General features: G+C 54.4%; 1 protein-coding gene and 1 long non-coding RNA gene across 11 annotated transcripts, besides 7 other annotated features; one reads left to right on the forward strand and one right to left on the reverse strand.

Moving 5' to 3' along the window:
• CACNB1 (calcium voltage-gated channel auxiliary subunit beta 1) lies at positions 1,424-25,640 on the reverse strand. Of its 9 annotated transcripts, none has more exons than NM_000723.5 (14): positions 25,383-25,640; positions 22,855-22,941; positions 19,445-19,564; positions 15,450-15,572; positions 14,764-14,900; positions 14,467-14,543; positions 13,102-13,121; positions 12,755-12,835; positions 12,296-12,354; positions 12,002-12,111; positions 11,684-11,835; positions 5,955-6,050; positions 5,321-5,506; positions 1,424-3,628 (listed from the first exon to the last, which is right to left on the reverse strand). In NM_000723.5, exons 1-14 carry the CDS (start codon positions 25,464-25,466, stop codon positions 3,164-3,166), a joined length of 1,797 nt encoding a protein of 598 aa, NP_000714.3. In that variant the 5' UTR covers positions 25,467-25,640; the 3' UTR covers positions 1,424-3,163. The 9 variants fall into 9 exon arrangements, with proteins under 9 accessions (NP_000714.3, XP_005257702.1, XP_016880513.1 ...); XM_005257645.3 differs by lacking the exon at positions 13,102-13,121 and adding an exon at positions 13,921-14,075; XM_017025024.2 differs by lacking the exons at positions 13,102-13,121; positions 22,855-22,941; positions 25,383-25,640 and adding exons at positions 13,921-14,075; positions 19,927-20,065; positions 21,420-21,468.
• Positions 2,600-12,344, forward strand: CACNB1-AS1 (CACNB1 antisense RNA 1). 2 transcript variants are annotated; one of them, XR_934743.3, is made up of 4 exons: positions 2,600-2,688; positions 3,834-3,930; positions 4,978-5,306; positions 12,204-12,344. It is a non-coding gene; the product is annotated as a CACNB1 antisense RNA 1 (long non-coding RNA). The 2 variants fall into 2 exon arrangements; XR_001753099.2 differs by having other exon boundaries at positions 5,175-5,306.
• Positions 3,379-3,980: an enhancer, noted in NCBI's record as "H3K4me1 hESC enhancer chr17:37331661-37332262 (GRCh37/hg19 assembly coordinates)". NCBI's record gives its function as "activates a minimal SCP1, AML or CMV promoter by ChIP-STARR-seq in naive H9 embryonic stem cells {active_cell/tissue: H9 hESC(naive)}" and the evidence as "EXISTENCE:reporter gene assay evidence [ECO:0000049][PMID:30033119]".
• Positions 4,757-5,258: an enhancer, noted in NCBI's record as "H3K4me1 hESC enhancer chr17:37333039-37333540 (GRCh37/hg19 assembly coordinates)". NCBI's record gives its function as "activates a minimal SCP1, AML or CMV promoter by ChIP-STARR-seq in naive H9 embryonic stem cells {active_cell/tissue: H9 hESC(naive)}" and the evidence as "EXISTENCE:reporter gene assay evidence [ECO:0000049][PMID:30033119]".
• Positions 5,259-5,758: an enhancer, noted in NCBI's record as "H3K4me1 hESC enhancer chr17:37333541-37334040 (GRCh37/hg19 assembly coordinates)". NCBI's record gives its function as "activates a minimal SCP1, AML or CMV promoter by ChIP-STARR-seq in naive H9 embryonic stem cells {active_cell/tissue: H9 hESC(naive)}" and the evidence as "EXISTENCE:reporter gene assay evidence [ECO:0000049][PMID:30033119]".
• Positions 11,943-12,443: an enhancer, noted in NCBI's record as "H3K4me1 hESC enhancer chr17:37340225-37340725 (GRCh37/hg19 assembly coordinates)". NCBI's record gives its function as "activates a minimal SCP1, AML or CMV promoter by ChIP-STARR-seq in primed H9 embryonic stem cells {active_cell/tissue: H9 hESC(primed)}" and the evidence as "EXISTENCE:reporter gene assay evidence [ECO:0000049][PMID:30033119]".
• Positions 20,824-21,324: an enhancer, noted in NCBI's record as "H3K4me1 hESC enhancer chr17:37349106-37349606 (GRCh37/hg19 assembly coordinates)". NCBI's record gives its function as "activates a minimal SCP1, AML or CMV promoter by ChIP-STARR-seq in naive H9 embryonic stem cells {active_cell/tissue: H9 hESC(naive)}" and the evidence as "EXISTENCE:reporter gene assay evidence [ECO:0000049][PMID:30033119]".
• Positions 24,838-24,967: a silencer, noted in NCBI's record as "silent region_8449". NCBI's record gives its function as "represses an Ori minimal core promoter by ATAC-STARR-seq in GM12878 lymphoblastoid cells {active_cell/tissue: GM12878}" and the evidence as "EXISTENCE:reporter gene assay evidence [ECO:0000049][PMID:35858748]".
• Positions 25,398-25,797: a silencer, noted in NCBI's record as "silent region_8450". NCBI's record gives its function as "represses an Ori minimal core promoter by ATAC-STARR-seq in GM12878 lymphoblastoid cells {active_cell/tissue: GM12878}" and the evidence as "EXISTENCE:reporter gene assay evidence [ECO:0000049][PMID:35858748]".

Genomic DNA, 25,799 nt, shown 5'->3' on the forward strand with positions numbered 1-25,799 from the left:
TTCGCACCTGGATTATCACAGCTGTTTCTAAGCTAGGCCTTCCAATCTATGCGCCAAACTGCAAACAAAGCAATCTTGCTAATTGCTTACAATCCTTCCATTTCTGCATACGAGCTTCAGGACAAAGCCCAAACTCCTTAACATGACTCAAGGCCCACTGTGACCTGCTCCTGCCAATTCACCTTGAGAGCACACTTTGGTGGTGAGGTGCCAAGAATATGTCATGCATGTCCCCTGCTTTCTCTGCCTTGAACACTTTCCCCATTTGTCTGCTAACCATGCTTCCAGATTCTACTCAAGCCTCACCTCTGCCAGGAAGCCTCAGCTGACCTCCCCAGGTTATGGGACTAACCCCTCTTTCAGGTTCCCACAGTACCCAATGCTCCCACAGTACCCAGTGCTCCCACAGCAGAGAGCACATTATGCTGTGCTGAAATAATCTATGGCCCCTACGTAGACTTGTGCCTGGTACATAGGAGGTGCTCAATAAACATTTGTTCAAGGAAGAAACACAGGAATGAATGATTCTGTAGGAAGGCAGTGGGAAATGCACTATGCTGGGAGGCAGAGACTAGGCTCTCATCAACTTTGCCATTGGCTCCCCCAGGGAACTGGGGTCAGCCACTTGACCTCTGGGCCTGCCCAGTTTCCCTTTCCTTTGATCCACTAACTCCTCATCTGTAGGGTCTTGGGGGATGTCTTTTGCCCTACACACACACACACACACACACACACACACACACACACACACTCACTCATGTTGGGCCTCAGCACTCAGGTAGCGGACTCAGGAATTTTAGTCCTCCACGGCGACCAGCACAAAAAACAAGAACCAGGGTGGGCACAGTGGTTCATGCCTGTAATCCCAGCACTTTGGGAGGCCAAGGTGGGTGGATCACCTGAGATCAGGAGCCTGGCCAACATGGTGAAACCCTGTCTCAACTAAAAATACAAAAATTGGCCAGGCGTGGTGGCAGGTGCCTGTAGTCCCAGCTACTCGGGAGGCTGAGGCAGGAGAATCACTTGAACCTGGGAGGCGGAGGTTGCAGTGAACCGAGATCGCGCCACTGCACTCTTCAGCCTGGGCGACAAGAGCAAAACTCCATCTCAAAAAAAAAAAAAGAAAAAGAACCAGGAGGGAGGGGAAATAGTTTGAGGGTACTGTGTGAGGCAGGACACAGGTGGTTGCAGTAACTGTCAGAAGTCCACATCCTGCCAGCTGGGGATGGGAGGAATGGGTACACTCACCTGCTGACTTTCAGTCTGGGACTGGCAGAATCCCTGATTTTCTCTGACCTGCCCCCACAAGTAGTCTGCCTCCCTGTCCCCAAAGCTGGTTAGCAGGAACGAGGGGGGCATTAGTGGAGCCAGAAGCTCAGCCCCTCCCTCTCCTGAGGTGTTGGGGCACAGTGATGCCACAAGAGCAGAAAAACAGTCATGTGTATTTAAGACATTGCACCAGTGGGTCTGGATCTCACCCACTGAGCAACATTGAGCTTCCCATTGCCTTTGGCTCTACTTGTGGAGAGACAGGTAAGTGAAGGGGCTCAGGGCCAGTGTGGAGCTGGGACTGCCCAAGCAGCTCCTGGCTTGGGCACAATACATCAGAGGGCCAAAATCAAAGGATCATCTTTTCTTTTGAGTCAATGACTCAGGGCACAACATCTTCAGGCACCCACCCTTTCAACTCCCCGTGCATATCAGCAGCTCCCAGGTGCCTACGCTGACGACTATGTGGCGAGGACAAAGAAGCAGGCTTGGGAGGCAGCCACAAAGGACAGGACAGTGGTTTTATATATGGCAAAATACTTCTCCTAGGGGAGTACAGACAAATATAGACAGACAGATGGGGGCACAGGACACCAGACAGGGAGGGGGGAAGGGAGGGCAGTGGTGTCTTCTAATCAGTAAGTGGAAGCTGCACCCCACCCCCAGGTGGAGGGTGGGACATTGGCACAGGAGGTGGCGAGACAGGCATGAGGTGCCCATCCCTGAGGCGGGCAGCCGGGCAGGCCCCAGTCCTTGTTGGCACACTCGGCTCTCTCTGGCCCAGCTGGGATGCTGGGGAGGGGCAGGGTTGCTGGGCTACAGGGATGCCAAGGCAAAGGGATGCCCCAGGGGAGAGGGGGTACCAAGGCCTCTCCTGGGGGAAGTGAACATGGGTAACAAACAGAATCACGAGAGGCAAATACAGAGCAGCAACAGCAGCAGCCAAGCCCCCCAGAGGAGATCCGAGGTCCCAAGGCAACCCCTGGGCACCATCCCACGGGTCCTCTCCCCTGGGGCCTCAGGGTGAGGGTGAAGGAGCAGTTTTTTGGTTTAAAATGAGGCGGACCAGAGTGTTCCATGGGCTCCACACCCAGGTGGCACAGGGATGGGGGGCTCAGATGCAGAGGGGCCCCCTCTACTAATGGCAGCAGGCAAGGGATGTTGGAGGCCAAGCTCATTCCTGGGGTAGGCAAAGGCTGAGGCATGGAGGTGGGGGGTGGGGAGCAGCGTCTCGGCCGCTCACTCCTCAGGGTTCTGGGCCCTGGACGTTGCCATGGCCACGGAGGGTAGAGGGTGCTGTATGCCTGCCAGCTTCCACCCAGAACCCTCCCCAAGACAAGCTCCCCATGGGGTGTCCATGCTATGGCTTTCACCGACCAGACGATGCTGCCAGGAAGCTGGGAGGAAGGGGCAGGCAGGGTGAGGGACCTTGGATCTGGGGTCTGGGGAAGAGAGCCCCCATGGGAAAGAATCTGTGGCCTCCCTTTCCAGGAAAAGCGCCCAGCCCTTCCCCAGTACTGCAGCTTGGGAGAAGGAGAGCCATCCCACTTAGGACCGTCACTTAGGGCCCCGAGTAGAAAGAGTTAAGGAAGTGCACCTTTTCTCTAGGAGGGTGAGGGAGGAGAGCCCCTTAAGATGGGAGAAAGGGGACACTTCAGAAAGGTGGGTATCCCCCATCCATCCACAACAGGCAGGTAAAAACCGACAGCTGGGGCTTAAGGGCCTCCCGGGAGCTGGGATGGTAACACCAAAGAAACCCCAAGCTTTGAGCAAAGGCATCTGAAAGGAGGGAGACAGCGCCCCCTGGAGGCGAATACATGTCAGGTGTGAGCCCCTCGCTCCCTCCCCTCCCCTGGGCTCAGAGCCCTTCCTCCCGCCGTGTGGCCCCTGCCTCTCAGCGAATGTAGACGCCTCGTCCCCAGCCCTCCAGCTCATTCTTGTTGCGCCCCAAAACTGGACCCCCACCCTCAGCGCAGTAGCGGGCCTTATTCCGGCCCCGGTTCCGGTTGTCGGTCAGCTCTTCCTCATAGTCTTCTTCCTCGTCCTCCCAGGATCCCTGTCGGGCTGGGGGCGTGCCGCCCCCTGCAGGGTCTCCAAGCCCTGGCCCCTCTGAGGGGTCAGTCTCCATGTCCACACATGAGTCTCCCAGCTCCGTGTAGGCAGAGTTTCGGCTGCCGGGGGTGTCGGCATCAAAAGTGTCTTGGCGGGACAGTGCCCGTAGCGTGCCTGCCCGGCCTGGTGGGTGGCTGCTGGGGTAAAGGCCTGGGGGCTGGCCCAGCTCCCCTGGGTACTCGTGCATGCTGGCGTGCTCCCCGGTGGCCCGTTCCAGTGGCTGGTCCCCGGAAGCAAGGTAGGGTCCCTGGTTAGCAGACGGACAGCACACACCATGCAGATCAGGCAGGGGTGAGAAAAACACAACAAAGCAAGGCAAGTTAGTGACAGCATTAAGAGGTCCGGCCTGGATGAAGAGGGTGCTGGCTCTAGAGGAGGGGCCCCGGGGACAAACGGCTCTGGAGCCCAGCCAGAGGACAGACCTCAGGGCATTTGCTCCTCTCTCGGGACAGGGGGCACCCGACCTTCAACAGATGTGAGGACATATGAACTCTCAGGGCAACTATGGCCAACAGCCGTGAGCCATGAGTCACCGCTTCCTCAGTGCAGGTCATTAATGCTATCTTGGGGCTAACTGTCATTAACAGCTCAGTATTGCCACTCATTAGCGGTTGATTCGGTTAGTCATTGCCTTTGGTTTTCCAAATATATTAACGGGATTTCAGCTCAAACCTGCTGACCCTGGCTTCTTCGACCCACACCAAACCCCAATCTCAGGCTTCCAGAACCCCATGCTTCTCCCACCATTCCCTAGTCGGATGACACCATCTCCAAGGCTGATGGGATTCCTCCCTTGCCCCCAACAAGCACTCAAAGCAGCAAGCTGGGGAAGGCTGCTGGGTCTCCCCCTCCTACTGAAGATGAAGAGGTGGCCCAGTGTCCTTATCATCAAATGTCACGTGGAGGTGGGGCACAAGAGGGGTTCCAGTCCCTCCCCTGCCATGTCAAGCTGTGTGACCCTAAGCAAACAGTTCCCCTCTCTGTGGCCTCATTTCTTGGTTGTAATGTGATGGGGGTTAGACCTGAGTAGCAGTTTCCAAACTGTTACCTAGAGATCTGGGGTGGCATTGGGTGGGAAGGGCACAGAAGTGCTTCAGGGGTCCCCATGGAGGTGGAGGGGAGGCCATTCCCCTGGCTCCCTCAGGGCAGAGCAAGGATGCATTATCTAACATCCTCAGCTTCCACGTAAGATTCATTGAACAAATGGGCTCTGTTGCTGAAAACAAATTTGAAAGCTACAGTCTAGAATGATTTCATGGGTTTCTTCTGGCTCTTAAGACCTTATACTTAATGGTGTGCCATCAAGAGGTGGGCTGTGGCTCCCATGGGAGGAGGGCAAGGCAGGATGGGTCTCCCATGGGAGGTCCTTTCCTGGACTTTAACTGGGAGAATGGTGGAAGGTTCAGCATCAAGTCATAGAAGATGCCACATTCTTGGTCCCTCTTGAGGGGCCTTGTGGAGTCAGGGCTCCAGGGAGGGAGAGTCCAGGTTTAACGTAGGTTTCCCTGGCTCTGAAGGCCCCTGCTCTGTTGGGTCTAAAAAGGGTGTGGAGTCCAGCGAATCAGTTTATCAGTCTTCCTCGCATGTCCTTCCTAGTCCCTTGTCTTAAAAGCGCTCCCATCAGGCCTCATATCCAGCGGGCAGCAGATGCGCTCCTATGGCACCAGGCCCAGGAAGACAGCACCAGAAGCCCCAGACCCATCAAAAACCACAGACACCAGAAGCTGCCGCTCATCTTATTTTTTTACAAAATAAAGCTCTTCCCTTCCTCCTCCATGTTCCCTGCACTCCAGTTCCGACCCCAGAGCAGGAGGGAAGACGGGCAGGGCGCCCACTACATGGCATGTTCCTGCTCCTGGGGCACCACACTGCCCCGCTGTGAGGACTCCAGCCCGCCCCAGAAGCCGAGGTTTCTCCTGAGCGAGGTGAGCACCTGTACCTGGAGGTTGGAGACAGGGGCAGGGCTGGCAGCCAGGGCTGCGGTAGCCATGGTGCGGTTCAGCAGCGGATTGGGTGGCGTGCTGCTGGGCGGGTGTGTGGCCTTCCAATAGGCTTCCAAGTACTCCGCCAGATGCTCGCAGGCATCCTCCAATTGGTTCTCATCCAGGATGATGTCAAACATTTCCTGTGAAGGCGGGGTTAGGGGGCAGGGCTGGGATGAGTGGGGCATGGCCAAGGGGGTTGAGGGTGTGGCCTGGGTGCAGTGGGTAGAGTCAAGGGATTGAAGGACAAGGTTAAAAAGAGGCCTCTGGATGTAGAAGGGAAGGAGAGCTCTCAGATCTACAGATTGGCAGAACTGCAAGAAGTTTTGGCACTCAGTCCAACTCCCTCATTCTAGAGATAAGGCAACCAAGGCTGGGAGACAGGGCTTGACTCTCCACGCAGAAGGGTGCTTCTGGGGCTTGAACCCAGTCTTTGACTGACGGGACCTGCGCTCTTCCCAGAAGACCAGTCTGCACCCACAGGCCTGACCCAGGTGTTCCTGGTCACCCTGTCTCTCATGTAGGCCAGAGGAAACCAGGACAACCCAAATGTTCTCCCTCCATTCCCTTCCCTGGGATCTAGGCACTCACAGGGGGGCACTGTGCCAGCTTTTCCGAGGCCGCTATTTGGACATTGAGGTGTTTGGACTGAGACTTTCCTCGGGACTTGATGAGCCTTTGAAGTACCTGGTTTGGGGAGAGAGAAAAGGAAGAGGAGCTAGAGGGACTCAGGCAATGCACCCAGTCAGAGAGGCGGGTCCTGGTTGGATCAGCATGGAGAGCCAGTGTCAAGACCCTTGAATGCTCCATAACTCTCAGCCCTGGGCACCTCTGCAGAAAGGACCTCAGCAGCCCTGTGTCTACCCTATGCAAAGCTCAGGCTCTCTCCTGGTGTTATGCCAGCCTTCCTTAGGGGCTATATGAAGGGCAGTGATTCTCCTTCTCAACTTCTCTAACATTGTTTGTAGGCCCGCCCACTCTCCTTTTTTTTTGTTTTTTTTTTTTTAAATTTTAGAGACTGGTTCTCGCTCTGTCACCCAGGCTGAAGTGCAGTGGTGTGAACATAGTTCACCTCTACCCTGGGCTCAAGCGAGCCCCCAGCCTAGCCTCCTCAGTAACTAGGGCTACAGGCACGTGCCATCATACCCCACTAATTTTTTTTAATTTTTTTGTAGAAACAGGGTCTTATTATGTTGCCCAGGCTGGTCTGAAACTCCTGGCCTCAAGTGATCCACTTGCCTCAGCCTCTCAAAGTGCTGGGATTATAGGCGTGAGTCACTGAGCCCAGCCACACCCTCTATATTAACAACGGCAACAACAACAGTCTTCCTTTATGGGGCACTTGCTACATACCAGCATTGTTCTGTGCTTTTCACATGATCAATTGAGTCCTGACAACAATCCTGTTAGATAGCTGCTATTATCATTCTCATCTCAACAACAAGAACCATAATTATAATAATGCAAAACCGGAAACTAATCATGAGGAACAATCACACAAACGCACACTGAGGGACAGACAGTCTACAGAATAGCTGTCCTGTACTCTGCCTAAATGTCAGTCTCTGGAAAATTCAAGAAAGGCTGAGGAAGCCTTCCAGATTAAAGAAAACTATACTGGCTGGGTGCGGTGGGTCACACCTGTAATCCCAGCACTTTGGGAGGCCAAGGCGGGCAGATCTTGAAGTCAGGAGATCGAGACCATCCTGGCTAACATGGTGAAACCCCATCTCTACTAAAAATACAAAACATTAGCCGGATGTGGTGGTAGGCGCCTGTAGTCTCAGCTACTCAGGAGGCTGGGGCAGAAGAATGGAGGCAGAGCTTGCAGTAAGCCGAGATGGTGCCACTGCACTCCAGCTTGGACAACAGAGCAAGACTCCGTCTCAAAAAAAAAAAAAAAAAAAAAAAGAGGGCCGGGTGCAGTGGCTCATGCCTATAATCCCAGCACTTTGGGAGGCCAAGGTGGGTGGATCACGAGGTCAGGAGATCAAGACCATCCTGGCCAACATAGTGAAACCCCGTCTCTACTAAAAAAATTAGCCGGGCATGGTGGCAGGTGCCTGTAGACCCAGCTACTTGGGAGGCTGAGGCAGGAGAACGGCGTGAACCTGGGAGGCGGAGCTTGCAGTGAGCTGAGATCGCCACTGCACTCCAACCTGAGCGACAGAGTGAGACTCTGTCTCAAAAAAAAAAAAAAGAAAGAAAGAAAGAAAGAAAACTAGGCCGGGCGCAGTGGCTCACACCTGTAATCCCAGTACTTTGGGAGGCTGAGGCGGGTGGATCACCTGAGGCCAGGAGTTCAAGACCAGCCTGGCCATCATGGTGAAACCCTGTCTTTATTAAAAAATAATAATAATACAAAAATTAGCTTGGCGTGGTAGCACATGCCTGTAGTCCCAGCTACTCACGAGGCTGAGGCATGAAAATCACTTGAACTTGGGAGGCAGAGGTTGAGGTGAGCTGACATCATGCCACTGCACTCCAGCCTGGGCGACAGAACAAGACTCTGTCTAAAAAACAACAGGCAACAAGTGATCCTGGGTTGGTTCCTGGATTGGGGGAAATGTTGCTATGAAGGGCATTCTATACCGGCACAGTGGCTCACGCCTGTAATCCCTACACTTTGGGAGGCAGGGGTGGTGGTGGATCACCTGAGGTCAGGAGTTCGAGACCAGCCAGGCCAACATGGCAAAACCCCGTCTCTACTGAAAATACAAAAATTAACTGGGTATGGTGGCAGGCGCCTGTAATCCCAGATACTCAGGAGGCTGAGGCAGAACTGCTTGAACTAGGGAGGCAGAGGCTGCAGTCAGCCAAGATCGCATCACTGCACTCCAGCCTGGGCAGCCAGAGTGAGACCCTAGCTCAAAAAAAAAAAAAACCAAATATGGACTATATTTTAGAAATAATTCTTGAATTTTACAATTGCATCATGGTTGTGTAAGATAATGATGTTGTTCTTAAGAAACACAATATAGGCCAGGCATGGTGGCTCACGCCTATAATCCCAGCACTTTGGGAGGCTGAGACAGGTGGATCTTTTGAGGTCGGGAGTTCGAGACCAGCCTGGCCAACATGGTGAAACTCTGTCTCTACTAAAAATATAAAAATTAGCCAGGTGTGGTGGTGGGCGCCTGTAATACCAGCTACTTGGGAGGCTGAGGCAGGAGAATCACTTGAACCTGGGAGGCAGAGATTGCAGTGAGCCAATATTGTACCACTGCACTCCAGCCTGGGTGACAGAGCGAGACTTCGTCCCCCCTCAAAAAAAAAAAGAGAGAAAGAAAGATAAAAGTAAATGTTTCAAAATTTGTGAATCTGAAAAAAATTAGACTGTACACTTAATTTATTTTTTATTTTTTAATAGAGACAGGGTCTTGCCATGTTGCCCAGTCTGGTCTCCAACTCCTGAGCTCAAGTGATCCACCTGCCTCAGCCTCCCAAAGTGCTGGGATTACAGGTGTGAGCCACCAAGCCTGGCTTATAGACTTTAAATGGCTGAACTTAATGGTATGGGAATTCTACCTCAATAAAATGTTAAAAAGTTAGTGAATCCTGGTGAAGAATATTCAAAAAATAAGATTTTTTTGATACTATTCTTGCCACACTTCTGTAAATCTGAAATTATTTGAAAATGAAAATCTTCTTACAAAATGGAACAGATATAGTTCTGGGATACCAAGCGTTTATTTTTATTTATTTATTTATTTATTTTTGAGACAGAGTCTTGCTCTGTCACCCAGGCTGGAGTGCAGTGATGCAATCTCGGCTCACTGCAACCTCCGCCTCCTGGGTTCAAGCAATTCTTGTGCCTCAGCCTCCTGAGTAGCTGGAATTACAGGTGCCCACCACCATGCGCAGCTAATTTTTTGAATTTTAGTAGAGGCAGGGTTTCATCATGTTGCCCAGGCTGGTCTTGAACTCTTTAGCTCAGGCAATCCGCCGGCCTCGGGCTCCCAAGGTGCTGAGATTACAGGTGTGAGCCACCGTGCCTGGCCCAATACCAAGCATTTTTCATGGTTAACCCATTTATTTAATCTTCACAAACCCAGTATGCCTATGCTGCAGATGAGGAAACCAAGGCATAGAGATGTTTGGCCGCTTGCCAAAGGAACACAGAGCCAGTAAGTGACAGCCCTGGAGTAGAAGGTCCAGGCTGCCTGGTTCCAGAGTCCCTCCTCTTAACCTCAGTGGGGGAAATGGAAGCATTGGTTACTTTCTAGTTCAGTGTTTTTGCATCCATTATCTCATTTGGTCCTTTCAACTCCCCTCAGGAAGTACTTAAATCCCATCATCCCCTTTATCTCATTAGAAACAGAGGACTCAGAAAGGTTAAGTAGGCTGGGCGCGGTGGCTCACGCCTGTAATCCCAGCACTTAGGGAGGCTGAGGCAGGAGAAATCACTTGAGGTCAGGAGTTTGAGACCAGCCTGGCCAACATGGTGAAAACCTGTTTCTACTAAAAATACAAAAATTAGCCAGGTGTGGCCGGGCACAGTGGCTCACACCTGTAATCCTAGAACTTTGGGAGGCCGAGGCCGGTGGATCACGAGGTCAGGAGTTCAAGACCAACCTGACCAACATGGTAAAATCCCGTCTCTACTAAAAATATAAAAATTAGCCAGGTGTGGTGGCATGCACCTGTAGTCCCAGCTACTCAGGAGGATGAGGCAGAGGAATCACTGGAACCCAGGAGGCGGAGGTTGCAGTGAGCAAGATCGCACCACTACACTCCAGCCTGGGTGACAGAGTGAGACTCCTTCTCAAAAAGAAAAAAAAAAAAAGCCAGGTGTGGTGTGTGCCCGTAATCCTAACCCCAGCTACTCGGGAGACTGAGGCACAAGAACCACTTGAACCTGGGAGGCGGAGGCTGTAGTGAGTGAGATCGCACCACTGCACTCCAGCCTGGGTGACAGGGCAAGGCTGTCTCAAAAAAAAAAAAGGTTAAGTAACTGGTCCAGGGAGCCCAGCTCATGGGATGATAATGGTTACCACTATTGGCTGCCCTCATAAATCAGAGAGTAGGCTGGGTGCGGTAGCTCACTCCTGTAATCCCAGCACTTTGGGAGGCCGAGGTGGGCAGATCACGAGGTCAGGAGATCGAGACCATCCTGGCCAACATGGTGAAACCCTGTCTCTACTAAAAAATACAAAAAATTAGCCGGGCCGTGGTGGTACACTCCTGTAGTCCCAGCCACTCAGGAGGCTGAGGCAGGAGAATCGCTTGAACCTGGGAGGTGGAGGTTGCAGTGAGCTAAGATCGCGCCACTGCACTCCAGCCTGGTGACAGAGCAAGACTCTGTCTAAAATAAATAAATAAATAAATAAATAAATAAATAAATAAATAAATAAATCAGAGAGTATACTGGGCTCCTTACAGCAATCCTCTCAACAATAACACGAGAGGGATTACAACCCCACTTTATAGGTGAAGAAATAGAGAATCAGAGGCTAAATAATTCCCCCAAGATTCCAAGTTCAATAAAAAACAACCAACAATAAGAATAAATCAATACGTAAACCAATCAGAGCTTGAATTTCAAGCCCATGCTGTCTTCTAACTTCAAATCCTCCACCTCAACTCTTCCTCCGTGTTTCTCAGATCCCCACTGGCATCTAGAAGGGAAAGTTAATGGTGCTGCAATACAAGGAAAAAGTAAGGCGGCCTTCCTACCGATTTCCCCTCTATCAAAGTCCAAATGAGGACACTGCAGCAAAAAGGGCTGATATCAAGAGAGGAAAGCAGCCTGGGCAACACAGCTAATCCCATCTCTAAAAAATAAAAATATTAGCCAGGCATGGTGGTGGACACCTGTAGTCCCAGCTACGTGGGAGGCCGAGGTGGGTGGATTGCTTTAGCCCAGGAGGTAGAGGCTGCAGTGAACTATGATTGCATCACTGCATTCCAGCCTGGGTGACAGAGCGAGATCCTGACTTAAAAAAAAGAAGAAGAAGAAGAAGAAGAAGAAGAAAGGAAAGACCTCCCAACTGCCAAGTAGCTGGGTGGCACTGGAACAAAAAGCACAGAATTCTTTCAGTCCAAGGGTGGGAAGTCAATCAGAGTGGAGACAGGGGACTGGTCTGCATGACCCTAATAATAGTAAATAATAGCTAACATGTTGTATCAGACCATTTGCTAAGTGCTATACATTCATATGAGGTTGAAACACTTGACAATACGATGGAGCTTTACAGAGAAGGAAACTAAGACTCAGGCAGATTAATTCACGTAATTAGTAAGCAGTGGAGCTGGGATTTAAACCCAAGCAGCCCTTTCAAACCACGCTGTCCTGGCCAGGGTCAGGCTCCTGCACCCACCTTGGGAGAGGTGATCTTGATGTAAACAATGATGGGGGCCAGCGAGGTCTTGGACAGCTGGGCTGGGTGATTGATGGTGTCAGCATCCAGAGCGACCAACTGAAGGGTCCGGGCCAGCTCGAAGATTCGCTCGATTTCACTCTGCACCTCAGCTGGGGGCATGGAGTCATGTGGATGGGGGAATGTCAGGTGGCCTCCCAGGAACAGCAGGTGGAGGGAACACTTCTGGAGATGGCCCTGCCCACTACCTCCCACACCTCCCACCCCTCCCACATCCGGCCCAGAAAGGGGGAGTGAAGACAGCAGGAGTAGGCTCACCCAGGCTGGAGCGTGTGTTGGAGCGCTCAATGATGATGTGTTTGCTGGGGTTGTTGAGAACTGAGCGCTTAGCCAGGGAAATATCTGCCGTCACACGAGTGATGGAGATCCTGGGGAATGGGGCAAGAGGGGAGTCAGGGGTCAGGGTGGGCTGGAATGCCCTGCCCACTCCCCAGTTCCAGGCCCGCCTTCTGTTCCTCAGTCCGAGTCCCAGGATTGTGATTCGAGGCATCCTGCCCATCCCCAGCAGCAGAGAGCAACGGCAGGTGCGAGGAGCAGCTCCCAGGATCTTACCTGCCATCAAACCGATGCTTCAAGAAGTCAAATAAAGCTTTCTGCATCATGTCTGTAACCTGGGGGTGGGGGTTTGTGGGGAGGGAGGGAGGAGAAGGCAGGCATTTAAAGCCGCTCAGACTCTGAGTCGCTGGGTATTTGTACCCTCACGTTCCACTTTCTTCTGGACAGGCCTTTACGGCGGGCGGGGGTCTGAGTCTGAGGGGCCTCCACTGGGGTCTCTGGTTCCAAGGTCCCTGTAAGTGGCATCTCTGGGAGGGCTCTTCTGAGGGTTTCTTTGGGGGACGGGGCTCCTCTGAGTGGGTCTTTCTGTGGATTGGGCCCCCTGGGGGTTGTCTCTGAAAGTCTGTAGCCCTCCTGGGAGGATGCCTTGGGATCGGGCCCTTCTAGGGGATCTCTCTGGGGTCTGAAGATCTTTCTAAGGCCCCTCTGCATCCACTCCCCTCTAGGAAGTCCTACCTCGTAGCCCTTGAGCGACGGTCCCACCAGGATGATGGGCCTCATGGAAGGCACCACGTCATAGGGGGGCACATGCTCTGTCTGGGGGGGGAAGCAGGGAGGGGAAACCCCAGAGTGGAGATGACATTAGATCCTCTCCCCCAGACTCCAGGCTCCCCCATGCAGCCTTCCCCCACCCTGGTCCCAGAGCCCAGATGTAGGGATCAGGGTGGGGGTGGGGAGGGATGGCCAGGGAGAACCAGGAAGGGTGGGGGAAATGGGGGACAGATGTGGGAATGGGTGTTAGAAGGTCCCCCTAGCTCATCCCAGGGAGTGGGGAGGAGGACACAGAAAGCTGTGATACTCACCGACTTCTGCTTCTGTTTGGCTGGGTCCAGAGATTGCCAAGAGAGGGAAGGGGGAGGAGAGAGGGAAGGGGACCCAGGCAGGGGCAGAGGGCAAGGCAGGAGCCAGGACAAGAGAGGGAGGGAGAGCCGGGCAGACGAGGAGAGATAACAGGGCATGCGTGTTAGTGACAGACAGAGCCAGAGACGGGGAACGGGACCCCACGCCAAGGGGGAGCCAGAGGTGGCCCTGGATCAGGGCTGGGAGCAGGACTGACAGTCAGTCCAGTGGATGTGGGAATATTCAGACATATCCTACCCTCTTCTGGGTCTTGGAAAAGAGCTGGAGAGGGTGACAGCCCCTATCTTGTTGCCCATCTCCTGCCCCCAGTGCATGCCAACATGCCCATTTTAGGGGTTCCCTTAACTGTCTTGCTTTGCAGCCAGCAGCCCCCCCCCACTATGTGCCCACCCAGAGAGTCAAAAAAGGGCAAAGAAGGAATGCCATCCCATGTCCTGCTTCACATGCCAAGGTAGACACCAACACCAGAGCAGGCCCCTGGGAGTGAGGGGAGAGGTCAGGGTTCATGACCACCAAACCCTGCTGCCCCAGGTGTGGGGGCAACCTTCCAAGGGCAAGATCTCCTTCCTGGAGATCGGGCCAGGGTGGAGTTGTGTGTGGAGGGGGATGTGCCCATGCTACCCTTCCCTCCACCTCAGCAGGAAGCCCTGATGCCCACAGAACAGGTTGGTACCACATCTGAATCCATTACAGCCCCCTTCCCTCCACCAAAGTGCTGGCCCTGACTCCCCCACCTCTTGCAAGAACACAGCGAGAATTACCTTCTTAAAGAAGGGGATGCGTTTGCCATGGGGTGGCGGGGTGGTGACACTGCTAACACTAGTCTTGGCAGAGCCACTCTGCTCACCAAGCTCAGCCTCTTCCTCCTCTAACTCTAGGGGGTCTAGTTCAAAGGCTAAGTTAGTCATTTCATTACCTGGACCGGAGAGTCAGGAGAGAGGGAGGAGGGAGGCGAGGTGGGGAGAAGGAGTGAGATGAACGTGGAGACACAAGTACAGAACGCAGGGATGGGGATGGGGAAAAAAGAAAGAAGAAGAGGTGAATGGAACAGGGCTGGGAGAAATGAATGGGGGCAGGGCAGGGGAATCAGGCAGAGAGATGGAGCTACCAAAGAAAAGGGAGAGGAGAGACATGACAGGCCCAGCTTGAGGGGTAGCCTACTCTTCATGGAGGGGGAACCACTGCATGTGCTTGGGGGACTCAGGATTGGGGTGTTTCCTACTGCAGGGAAAGGAGGATTCAGGGAGTGGGGAGACCACCCCACCCAGGAGCTTCTTCCCAAACCCCTGCATGGCGATGGCTCTTACCACTGGCAGGGGGTGTGGGGCGGCGGGTGCCAGTCACCACATCTCCCAGACTGGAACTGGAGTTATCGCCTGATTTGCTGTGTGGGCAGAGGCAAACCGAGCTTGTGAGCAAAGAGGTGGGCGTGGGGGGCTCTCATCCTCTCACATGCGGCACCCCCGGAGGTGCTCCAGCCCCACTGGTGATGCCACAGGCAGCTCTGTGCCCTCAGGGCCAGGGACAACCATTGAGGCCTAGTCCAGGCTGTATGGCCTCTCCTGGGGTTGGCAGCATCCCCTTCCCCTGCCCCACCCAGACACCTGGAGCCGAGGCGGTTCTGGCGCAGCTTCTGTTCCTGCAGCAGGCGAAGGCTGTCCAGTTTGACGGGGCTGGGAATGAAGCCAACCTCACAGCCCTCCTTCACCAGCCGCCCGATCCACCAGTCATTATTGTATTTCTGCAAAGAATATGGCAGGTGGGTGGAAAGAGCAAGAGGGAAACTGCAGGGGCAAGCTAGCAGTCACTCTCTAGGGGAAACGCCCAGACTCACCTCCCAGCCCAGGGGTGGCACCCTCAAAAATCCCCAGCCCTGGCTCCAGCCTCTGAGTGGAGCTGCCAATTCTCAGGACAACTCCAGGACCAGCATGCTTTCTGGCCATGGACCACCCTGCCACCGGCCCAATGCAATTCTGAGAGTCCTTCTCCCCATGTGCCCACCCTACTCTACAAAGGCCGCTGGAGTAAATGCGGATACCTACATGTCCCTGGCACACCGCCATGCCAGTTCAGGCCCCCTAACAAACCCTCCCAACAACCTTCTGACCTAAGCATTACCACCTCATTTTTCCAGTAGAAAATTAAGAGGCTCAGAGAGGTGGAGAGATTTGTCTAAGGTCACACAGCAGATTCAGCCTGGCTCTGCTTGGCTCAGAAGCCTTTTGTCCACTAGCACTCTGGCTGCCTGTCTCCTGGCACCCACTTCCCTGCCCTCCCTCCAGATACCCACCTCCTTGATGTGCAGGAAGTCTTTGGGCTCGAAGGTGATGGCCACTCCCTGCACAGGCACCTCATCCCCTGGAGACGGATTGTAGCCAACATTTGTCCGCACAGCAAATGCCACTGGCTTGGTCTAGAGGAGGCACACAGGGGAGGATGGCAACTAGAGGGCAAACCACAATGTAATGTACAACTTCCTGACAGTAGTGGTGGTTACTTGGATGTTTACTTTATAATAGTTCCTTGAAATGTGTATGGACATGGGCAGGGTGTGGTGGCTCACACCTGTATTTCCAGCACGTTGGGAGGCCAAGGTACGTGGATCATCTGAGGTCAGGAGTCCGAGACCAGCCTGAACAACATGGTGAAACCCCGTCTCTACTAAAAATACAAAATTAGCCAGGCGTGGTGGTGGGTGCCTATAATCCCAGCTACTCAGGAGGCTGAGGCAGGAGAGTTGCTTGAACCTGGAAGGTGGAGGTTGCAGTGAGCCAAGATTGTGTCACTGCACTCAAGCCTGGGCAACAGGGCAAGACTCCATTTCAAAACAACAACAACAACAACAAAATGTATACTGACACTTTGGGAGGCCAAGGCAGGTGGATCGTTTGAGACCAGCCTGGCCAACATGGTGAAACTCTGCCTCTACTAAAAATACAAAAAAATTAGCTGGGCATGGTGGCACACACCTGTAATCCCAGCTACTCAGGGGGCTGAGGCATGAGAATCATTTGAATTCAGGAGGCAGAAGTTGCAGTGAGCCAAGATGGCACCACTGCACTCCAGCCTGGATGACGGAGCAAGACTCTGTCTAAAAAAAAAAAAGTCTGGGCGTGGTGGCTCACGCCTGTAATCCCAGCATTTTGGGAGGCAGAGGCAGGTGGATTCATGAGGTCAGGAGTTCAAGACCAGCCTAGCCAAGATGGTGAAACCCTGTCGCTACTAAAAATACAAAAATTAGCTGGGCGCAGTGGCAGATGCCTGTAATCCCAGTTACTTGGAAGGCTGAGGCAGGAGAATTACTTCAACCAGGGCAGCAGAGTTGCAGTGAGCCGAGATCATGCCACTATACTCCAGCATGGATGACAGAGTGAGACTCCGTCAAAAAAAAAAAATGTATACTGAATTGGCTTGTGTGGTTTTCTCCATGTATATTAACTTTTACAATAAAAAACAAGAAAGCAAAATGTGGAATTCAGCCCTCTCAGGGTAGAGGCGGGGCACTCAGGAATGAAAAGGGTTGGGGGTGGGGAAGCCCACAATGATACCCAGAAAAAATAATAATAATAGCAGGCCGGGCACGGTGGCTCACTGCTGTAATCCCAGCACTTTGGGAGGGCAAGGCAGGTGGATCACTTGAGGTCAAAAGTTCGAGACCAGCCATGACTAACATGGTGAAACTCTGTCTCTACTAAAAATACAAAATTAGCATGGTGTGGTGGCACATGCCTGTAATCTTGGCTACTTGGGAGGCTGAGGCAGGAGAAACACTTGAATCTGGGAGGTGGAGGTTGCAGTGAGCTGAGATGGTGCCACTGCACTCCAGCCCGGGCAACAAGAGCGAAACTCCGTCTCAAAAACAAAACAAAATAAATTAATTAAATAATAGTTATAGGCCGGGCGCAATGGCTCATGCCTGTAATCCCAGCACTTTGAAAGGCTAAGGTGGGTGGATCATGAAGTCAGGAGTTCGAGACCAGCCTGGCTAACATGGTGAAACCCCGTCTCTACTAAAAATATAAAAATTAGCTGGGCGTGGTGGCACGCACCTGTAATCCCAGCTACTCAGGAGGCTGAGGCAGGAGAATCACTTGAATCTAGGAGGCAGAGGTTGCAGCAAGCCAAGATCGTGCCATTGCACTCCAGCTTGGGTGATGGAGCAAGACTCCGTCTCAAAATAAAATAAAATAAAATAATAATAATAATAATAATAGCAGCCAGGCACAGTGGCTCACACCTGTAATCCCAATACTGGCTTGAGGGAAGGAGTCTGAGACCAGCCTGAGCAATATAGGGAGATCCTGTCTGTTTTGTTTTGTTTTGTTTTGAGATGGAGTTTCGCTCTTGTTGCCCATGGTGGAGTGCAATGGCGCAATCTTGGCTCACTGCAACCTCTGCCTCCTTGGTTCAAGCAATTCTCCTGCCTCAGCCTCCCAAGTAGCTGGGATTACAGGCATGCGCCATCACACCTGGCTAGTTTTGTATTTTTAGTAGAGATGGGGTTTCACCATGTTGGTCAGGCTGGTCTCAAATGCCCGACCTCAGGTGATCCACCCACCTCAGCCTCCCAAAGTGCCGGGATTACAGGCGTGAGCCACCGCACCCAGCCAGCCCTGTCGGTTTTTAAAAAATAAAAGGGGCAGCTGGGCACAGTGGCTTACGCCTGTAATCCTAGCACTTTGGGAGGCCGAGGCAGGCAGATCACCAGGTCAGGAGTTCTGAGACCAGCCTGGCCAACATGGTGAAACCCCATCTCTACTAAAAATACAAAAAAAAATTAGCCGGGCATGGTGGCGGGCGCCTATAATCCCAGCTACTTGGGAGGCTGAGGCAAGGAGAATCGCTTGAACCTGGAAGGCGGAGGCTGCAGTGAGCCGAGATCGCACCACTGTACCCCAGCCTGGGCGGCAGTGCAAGACTCCATCTCAAAAATAAATAAATAAATAAAAGGGGCTGGGCACAGTGGCCCATGCCTGTAATCCTAGCACTTTGGGAGGCCGAGGCAGGAGGATCACTTGCACCCAGGAGTTCAAGACCAGCCTGGGCAACATAGCAAGATCCCATCTCTACAAAAAATAAAAAATCAGCCAGGTGTGGTGGTATGCCTCTATAGTTCCAGGTACTCGGGAGGCTGAGATGGGAGGTCAAGGCTCCAGTGAGCTGTGATCACGCCGCTACACTCAGCCTGAGTGACAGAGAGAGACCCTGTCTCATAAAAAATAATAAATATTTAAATTTATTTATTATTATGTTTTTTGAGACAGAGTCTCGCTCTGTCACCCAGGCCGGAGTGCAGTGGTGCGATCTCAGCTCACTCCAGCCTCCGCCTCCTTAGTTCAAGCGATTCTGGTGCCTCAGCCTCCCGAGTAATTGGGATTACAGGCGTACACCACCACACCCAGCTACGTTTTGTATTTTTAGTAGAGACGGGGTTTCACCACATTGCCCAAGCTGGTCTCGAACTCCTGACCTCAAGTGATCCGCCCAACCGGGCCTCCCAAAGTGCTGGGATTACAGGCGTGAGCCACAGCACCTGGCCTAAAATTAAATTAAAAAAAACAATAATGACAGTAATGACCATTTAGTGTTCCAGGTACCATGTTACACACTTAACACATATTCTCTCATTTATATTCATCACAAAAATAAAAAATCCTCTGAAGTTAAGTGGTATTATTATCTTCCTTTTAATGTGACTTTCCTAAGATCACACAGCTATTAAGAGTCAGGACCAGGTCAGGCACGGTGGCTCACGCCTGTAATCCCAGCACTTTGGGAGGCTGAGGGGGGCGGATCACAAGGTCAGGAGATCGAGACCATCCTGGCTAACATGGTGAAACCCCGTCTCTACTAAAAATACAAAAAATTAGCCGGGCGTGGCAGCCAGAGCCTATAGTCCCGGCTACTTGGGAGGCTGAGGCAGGAGAATGGCGTGAACCCGGGAGGCGGAGCTTGCAGTGAGCCGAGATCATGCCACTGCACTCCAGCCTGGGTGACAGAGCAAGACTGCAACTCAAAAAACAAAAAAAAGAAATTTTTAGCACTTATCAAGCCCTTATTATGTGTGGAAACAGTATAATAACACGCACTTATTATACTTATTATACTGTATAAGCAGGCAGGTATTATAGCCCACATTGTGCAGGTGAAGGACAGAGGAGCAAGGTTCAGGGGTACTAGGAAGTGGCTGGGTCAAGACTTGGCCCTGGTTCTGTCTGGGCTCTCTCTACAGCCCAGGACTGGGGGAAATCATGCCAGCACAGCCCCTCCCCACATCTTTCTCACCTTGGCCTTCTCGAGCTGCGCTAATGCCTGGCGCTCTGCTTCCTTCCTTAAGGCTTCCCGGTCCTCCTCCAGAGATACATCAGAGTCTGATGGACGGCTGGTGTAGGACTCCGCTGAGCCCTGAAAATAGAGAGAGCCAGATCAGGGCCATTGCTGCCCCTCCCAGCTCCTGGGCCTGGGAAGGCATGGAGGTGCCACCCATCATGGATGCCTCGAGCCCCAGCCAGCCCAGCATGACACCACAAGGGCTAAGACAAGGTGGTATTAGGTGGAAGGGACCAGGAGCTGAGATTTCTCAGGCCCCTGGGGAAAGTGTGGCCCTAGTGAGGGTGACAGCAGCAAGCAGGAGATGAAGGCAGGCCCAAGGACAGCTGCTTGGGGCCCAGGGAGGGGTGGGAACCTGATAGGGGCACAAGGCAAGGGAGGAATGCCAGGGACGAGTCTCTACTCCCACTGCTCCTTCCCTCCCCTGCCCCCAGCACCCGCTGAGATAGACTCAGCTGAGGTCCAGTGGCATCCATTCCAGGGACTGCAGCCACCAGCTTCGGCCTGAGCTCTCTGCACTATCAGCCGTGGACGGCCTGCTCCGCAGGATGGGGCCACCACAGATTTTGCCAGCTTCTGTTCAAGGGTAGAGGGAGACAGACTCCTACCTCCCCTGCTCCTCTTAACTGGTACTGCCAGAATCAAACTTCACTACTTACAGCCCCAGTCCTCAGGCTCTCCTAGGACACAAGAGAACCCAAGAGTTCCAGGCTGGTACAGACCGAAGAGGCAAGTTAAGAGCAGGATATGGGACAGGGCTTTCCCTGAAATGAGGGCTGCTGGGTGCCAGACAGCTGGCTTTGACCACAATGACCAACCCAGAGCACAAGGGACTCCTTTAGGGATGCACACATATGTGTAAGACACATGTTGCCCGTACAGACCTGGTAGTGGGAATGCACGTGCTTCTTCATGTGTGTGTGTGGATGTGCAAGTACAAGTGTGTGGAGGAGGGTGTGCTCTATAGTTGGCTGCATATGACTGTGTGTGTACAGCCACATGTGAGTGTACTGGGGGGGAGCTCCCAGACATCTGTGACCCTGAGGTTGGGGGACATGTGAGGGCAGGAGGCAAGAGGTGTGGATTTGTGTGACTATGCAGGGGTGGTGTTGGACAAGGCATAGGAGGTTATGTGGCAAAAGAGGAGGACTGCAGGGATGTAGGGGTTCTTTCCTGAGGGCAGAAAAGGGTCACTTGGCCAGGAAGGTCCATAAGTTTGGCATGGAGGGGACCTGGGAAAGACAGAAACAAAGTCCCACCTCTCCCCAGGGGCCTCAGGTCATTAGCTGGTGCAGCTGCCCATCTCTTTCCCAGACAAATAATGAAAATGGGAGACCCGCGGAGGAAGGGTTGGGGTGGAGCGGGGGTCACTAACAGAAGTGGGGAAAGAGGCATGAAGGAGAGAAGGAGAGAAAACCAGCGTAGCTCCCCCTCTCCCCCCTGATGGGAGCACGCAGAGTCAAAGAGCCAGGGAAACAGACAGGGAGACAGACTAGCAGAGAGGCACTCACCGACCCCAACACACACGCGGGCATGCGCGTGCACACACACACTCACCAACCCCAACACAAATGCAGGCATACGCGCGCACACACTCACTGACCCCAACACACATGCAGGCACGCGCACGTGTACACATACACACACAGTTACATGCACACACACAGACACACATGCAGACGCACATGTGCGGGCAGACACACACACATATGCAGACACACAGGTGCACACAGACACACATGTAGGCATGCGCACACATACACACACATATGCAGACACATGTACGCGCATACACACGCACACATCAGAAATGGCAGAAGACAGGAAACAGTGAGGAGGCATGGAGACACGCTGGAGTAAAGGCTGCCCTCCGTCAGCTTTCCTGAGAGGCTGTTCTACCCGCTGCCACCCCACTCCATCCCCAGCTCACCACCACCACGGTCCGGCTGGGCGCCTCCATCCCGGCACCCTCAGTGCCTGGCCCTGCTGGCCTAGGGGGTGGCCCAAACTGCCCGTTCCCTTGGGGGCTCGGGTTACAAGCAGAGTTGCTACATGTGCAGACTGCTAGGGTATATTTAGCTCAGAGATGTGGCAAGGACTGCCCCCCTCCACCACTCCCCACCACCTACCGGGGATCAGAGCTGGGGAGCTAAAAGGAGGAAGAATTGGAGGCTGGGGTCTGACTCCCTGGGTTGGCAAACACTGAAGGAGCCAAGGTCCTTTTCTGCCAAGAGGGGCAATAAAAGCACAGCGTCATTCTTCCCAGCCCTGGCCATGTCCTGCAACAGGAGGGATGAGGGGGTGATTGAAGAAAGGACTTCCTGTCTGTTCCTATACTTAGAAAAGGCTAGAATGAAGCCTCCCCTTCCTGAACCTCCCAAGTCAGACTGAGGCTCACATGTGCCAAGTGCTGTAGAGACAGAAGAAACGGAAAGAAGGGCCTCACTCTAATTAGTGGTGGATCTGCCTGGCATCACCCTCGCTCCTGGCCCAAGGTGGAAGGGAGGGGCTCATCTCCAGAGGACCCCTCCTCTGTGCTGTCTTCTGCCCTCAAATGCCCTGCCCATTTCCTCTTCAATACACGCCTTTTCCTTGTCTAATCCCAAGCCCCTCTCGCCTTTTTTGGGTACCAGGCTTTGGTGAGATGCTAAGTAGTCATAGCAACCACATGCCTCTCTCAGTCCCTCACCCTGAGCCTAAGATGGCCCAGGGTTGACAGATGAGAGCAGCCGCTTACTGACTGAGCACAGAAGACCCCAGAAAGCTATTCTCAGTTACACCCTTTCAGGCAGGGGTGCTGGGCTATCATCTTCTCTATTATAAAATCAACAGCCTCATGCCTCAACCACCCCCACCCCCGTCACCATCACCCTTTCTCTGTGCTTCTTAGACAGTCATGTCTCGAGGTGAGGAGCGTGTTTCCCTGGCCAGGACCTCACCAGGACTACAGGGACCCAAACATCCTTGCTCTGCTTTTCCTAGGACCTGCCTCCACCCAACCCTGTCACAGATTCTGGGGGAGGACATGGAAGCAGACAGCCGGCAGGGGGAGTGGGTGACAGCCCGAAGCAAGCTGGAGGGAGGCAGGCCAGGCTGTCCCTGAATGAGATGACGCAGGCCAGCAGGCAGCAGGGGAGGGTGCCTGGTGCTGGGGGAGGGGCCGGGCAGGGGCGGGGGCTGAGCGAGTGGGTGCCGCTGACAGCACATCCAGAAGAGGTCATGGGGTGTCAGGGTGATGGGGTGGCTCCAGGCAGGTGACAAATGGCACAGGGAAGGGTGCCTGGACAATACCGCAGACCTGGCTCACCAATGCTGGTCTCCACCAACCAGCCACCTCCCTCCTCTCCGCCCAGCCTCCCCATTACCTGGCGGACAAAGCTGTTGGATGTGGTATCCGAGGACGTGCTCCCATCTGACCGTTTGAATCGCCCTTTCCTCTTGCTGTATTTGCCCTGAAGAGGCCAGGAAAGGAACAAGAGTAGAATCAGAAGGGCCCTTTCCCAACCCTCATCTTGCCAGCCCCAGAGCTACAGCCAAGCTTGGGAACAGCACTCCCAGCCCCACCTCCACCCCCCTGCACATTCCTCCTGAGGTGGTACGACCCAAGGGGAGGGAGGGTCTCCCATCCTCACGGAGAGGGCCCAGAGCACAGCCAGGAGTGGGGACCAGTGCAAGAGAGCCCCAGAAGACCCACACGGAAACCACCAAACCAAGCCAGAGAGGCTGGGAAGGGGGGAGGCGCGGAGAAGCTGGAGGCTCATTAGGCAGCAGAGCTAATTAAGATGCTGGGCAGGCTGCAGAGGCCTCCGAGGAAGGGAGAGGCAGCCGGCAGTGCTGGGTGTTGGGTGGGGAGAGCGGGAAAGTCACCCCCACTCCCCCTCCGCAGGAGCAGAGCAGGGCTGTTTGTGTTGGTGGCCCCCAGAGAGGAGGAACTGCCAACCCAGGGCCCAGCCTGGCTTCTCCCCTGTGCCCAACTCTTCCCTTCGCTATTCACAGAGTAGGGAGGGGATGACAGCTCTCTTGGAGACTCAGAGCCAGATTTCTGGGGAGGGAGTAGGGGCATGGAACTGTATTTGGAGAGTAAACATCCAGCCTGATCCCTGGCACCATGGGGGCAAATTTTGCTCCCCACTCTCATCCCTTGCCCAGACAGGACTTTTTCTCAGCTCCCTCTCTCACAATCACAGTAGCTACAATCCTCCCCAAGGGGGCAAGAGGGATCAAGCTTCTACCCTGTGGCCCCCAGCTGCCACTGCCCATGCCCCATGCCCATGGTACCCATCAGGCTACGTCAATCTAAATGTCCCTCGGCCCCGCACCACATGAGCCTAGGACACAGCCCCACAGATCTCTAGGGGGTAAGCTGGCTCAGTCTCAGAGACCGGGTGGAGGAAATACCGCCTGACCATTCAGGAAGCCACACGTTCAGGTTAAGGGCGTCAGGTATTTCCAGTCCTCTTGTAAGAAGAGCTGCTTCTGGCCCTCCCCAGCTTGTACCCACACACACTTGGCCTCAGCCCAGTTCAGAATGGGGAGAGTGAGTGAGGGCTCAGACTTCCAAGTCCCCGCCCTTGGTCTCCATCCTAGACTTTCTTTGGCCAAAGAACCTGGAGGGGCCATGACCAGACTGGGGGCTTTGGCTGCTGGGATCAGGGTACAAGAAAGAGGATGGAAAATGGGAGAGGAGGGCCCCTGGGGACCTTTCCAAGATCCTCCCCTCCCCGCCCTTCTCTCAAACCAGACATATACCCCAACTCAAGTTGTGATGCTCCCTACAAACCTAGGAGGATCACCCAGTGAATCCCAGACACCACCCTCCCCCACCACTGCCAGGCTGGGCAAAGGGAGTGGCACTCAGAGGGACAGGGGACAGCTGAAAGGAAGGCCCCAGTCAGCTGCCTCCCAGGCTCAAAGGGGCCTGGGGTGGAGGAAGGTATTTTTAGGTCTGACTTGACCCCTCTACATACCCATCAGTCACATTATCATGGTGGTTACAGCTGGTGGCCACAGTAACAGAAGAGTTAATGCTATCCTTGGAGAAGGACACTCCCAAAGAAATCCCCTGGCGCGACCATCCCAGAGCCTGCTGGTCACCCCATGAGAACCCACCGCGCCCAAGAATGCCACTTCCTGGGAGTAACCAGGGGTGTAGGAAAAGTGTGCGGGTGGGGATGGAGAAGTAGACCCCTCCCCCAGGTAAAACAGCTTCCCCCCCTCCTATGAGTTGGCATCCATCCAACTTTCCAAACTTTGGAGGCGTTTTTGGGGCGGGGGTGGGGGTGGGGTAAGTCAACGTGGGTGTGGGGGGAGGGGAGCAGGTCCGACATAGAGATGGAGCCCAGGTGGCTGGGAGGGGACCTCGACCGGGGTTGGCTCTTTCCCCACCCTCGAGAACCAGTGTCTGCGGCTTTGAAGGCCTGTTGGCATTTGGCACCGCCCTCTGACCATCGCCTCGGCCACCTCCTCGTGCCACCCCCGCCCCACCCACACCCGCCTGGCGCCCCCGAGCGTGCTCTGCGTCGCCCCCCTTGCCTGGCTCGCTTTCTAGCCTCTTTCAACCTCCCCTTCTCAAGGCCCAGATCCCCCTCCACCAGCACCCCCACGCTCAGCCCACTGAAGCTGGTGCCCAAGCGGCAGGAACCTTGACGCGGGGGAGATAAGGAGGCGAGGGTGACAGGCAGCCCACCCGCCCCCTCCCCGCTCCGCAGCATCGCCACCCAGCCCCAGGCCCAGCGCCCATCAATCACAACCTGCAAGGATGGGGGGCGCGCAGGCATCCCTCTCTCCTCCGCGCCCGGCATATAACCCCTTCCTCTCCCGCGCCTCTCGAGCCGACCTTAACACGGTCCGCGGGAGCGACCCCCTCCCGTTGGGCCGGGCCACCACGCCTCACCTGCGGGCTGGGGTCGAAGACCTCCATGGGGATCTCCTGGGAGGGTGGGTAAGGGCCCCGGGACATGCTGGTCTTCTGGACCATGGAGAGGAGCCTCCCCTCCCGCCGCCGGCCCGGCCCAGCCGGGCTCCCTCAGCGCATGGGAGAGGCCGTGGGAGCCGAAAGCAGCGCGGCGCAGCCAGCACCCGGTCCAGCCACCCAGCTCGGCCTTCGGCTGCCTCCTTCCTGCCTTCCCTCGCTCCTCCCGCTCTCTCCACTGCCGCCGCCGCCTCCCCCGTAGGCTCAGCATCTCCCCGCGCCCCTCCCTCGCTCCCTCCCTCCGCCCGCCCGGCCCCGCCCCTCGCAGCCCCTCCGCCGGCTCGGCGCACACAATGGGCGTGCGGCAGCAGGGAGGCAAGCCCCTCTCGGCTCTAGGTG

The sequence above is a fragment of the Homo sapiens genome, chromosome 17 (genome assembly GCF_000001405.40).
Source record: "Homo sapiens chromosome 17, GRCh38.p14 Primary Assembly".
Lineage (NCBI taxonomy): Eukaryota > Metazoa > Chordata > Mammalia > Primates > Hominidae > Homo > Homo sapiens.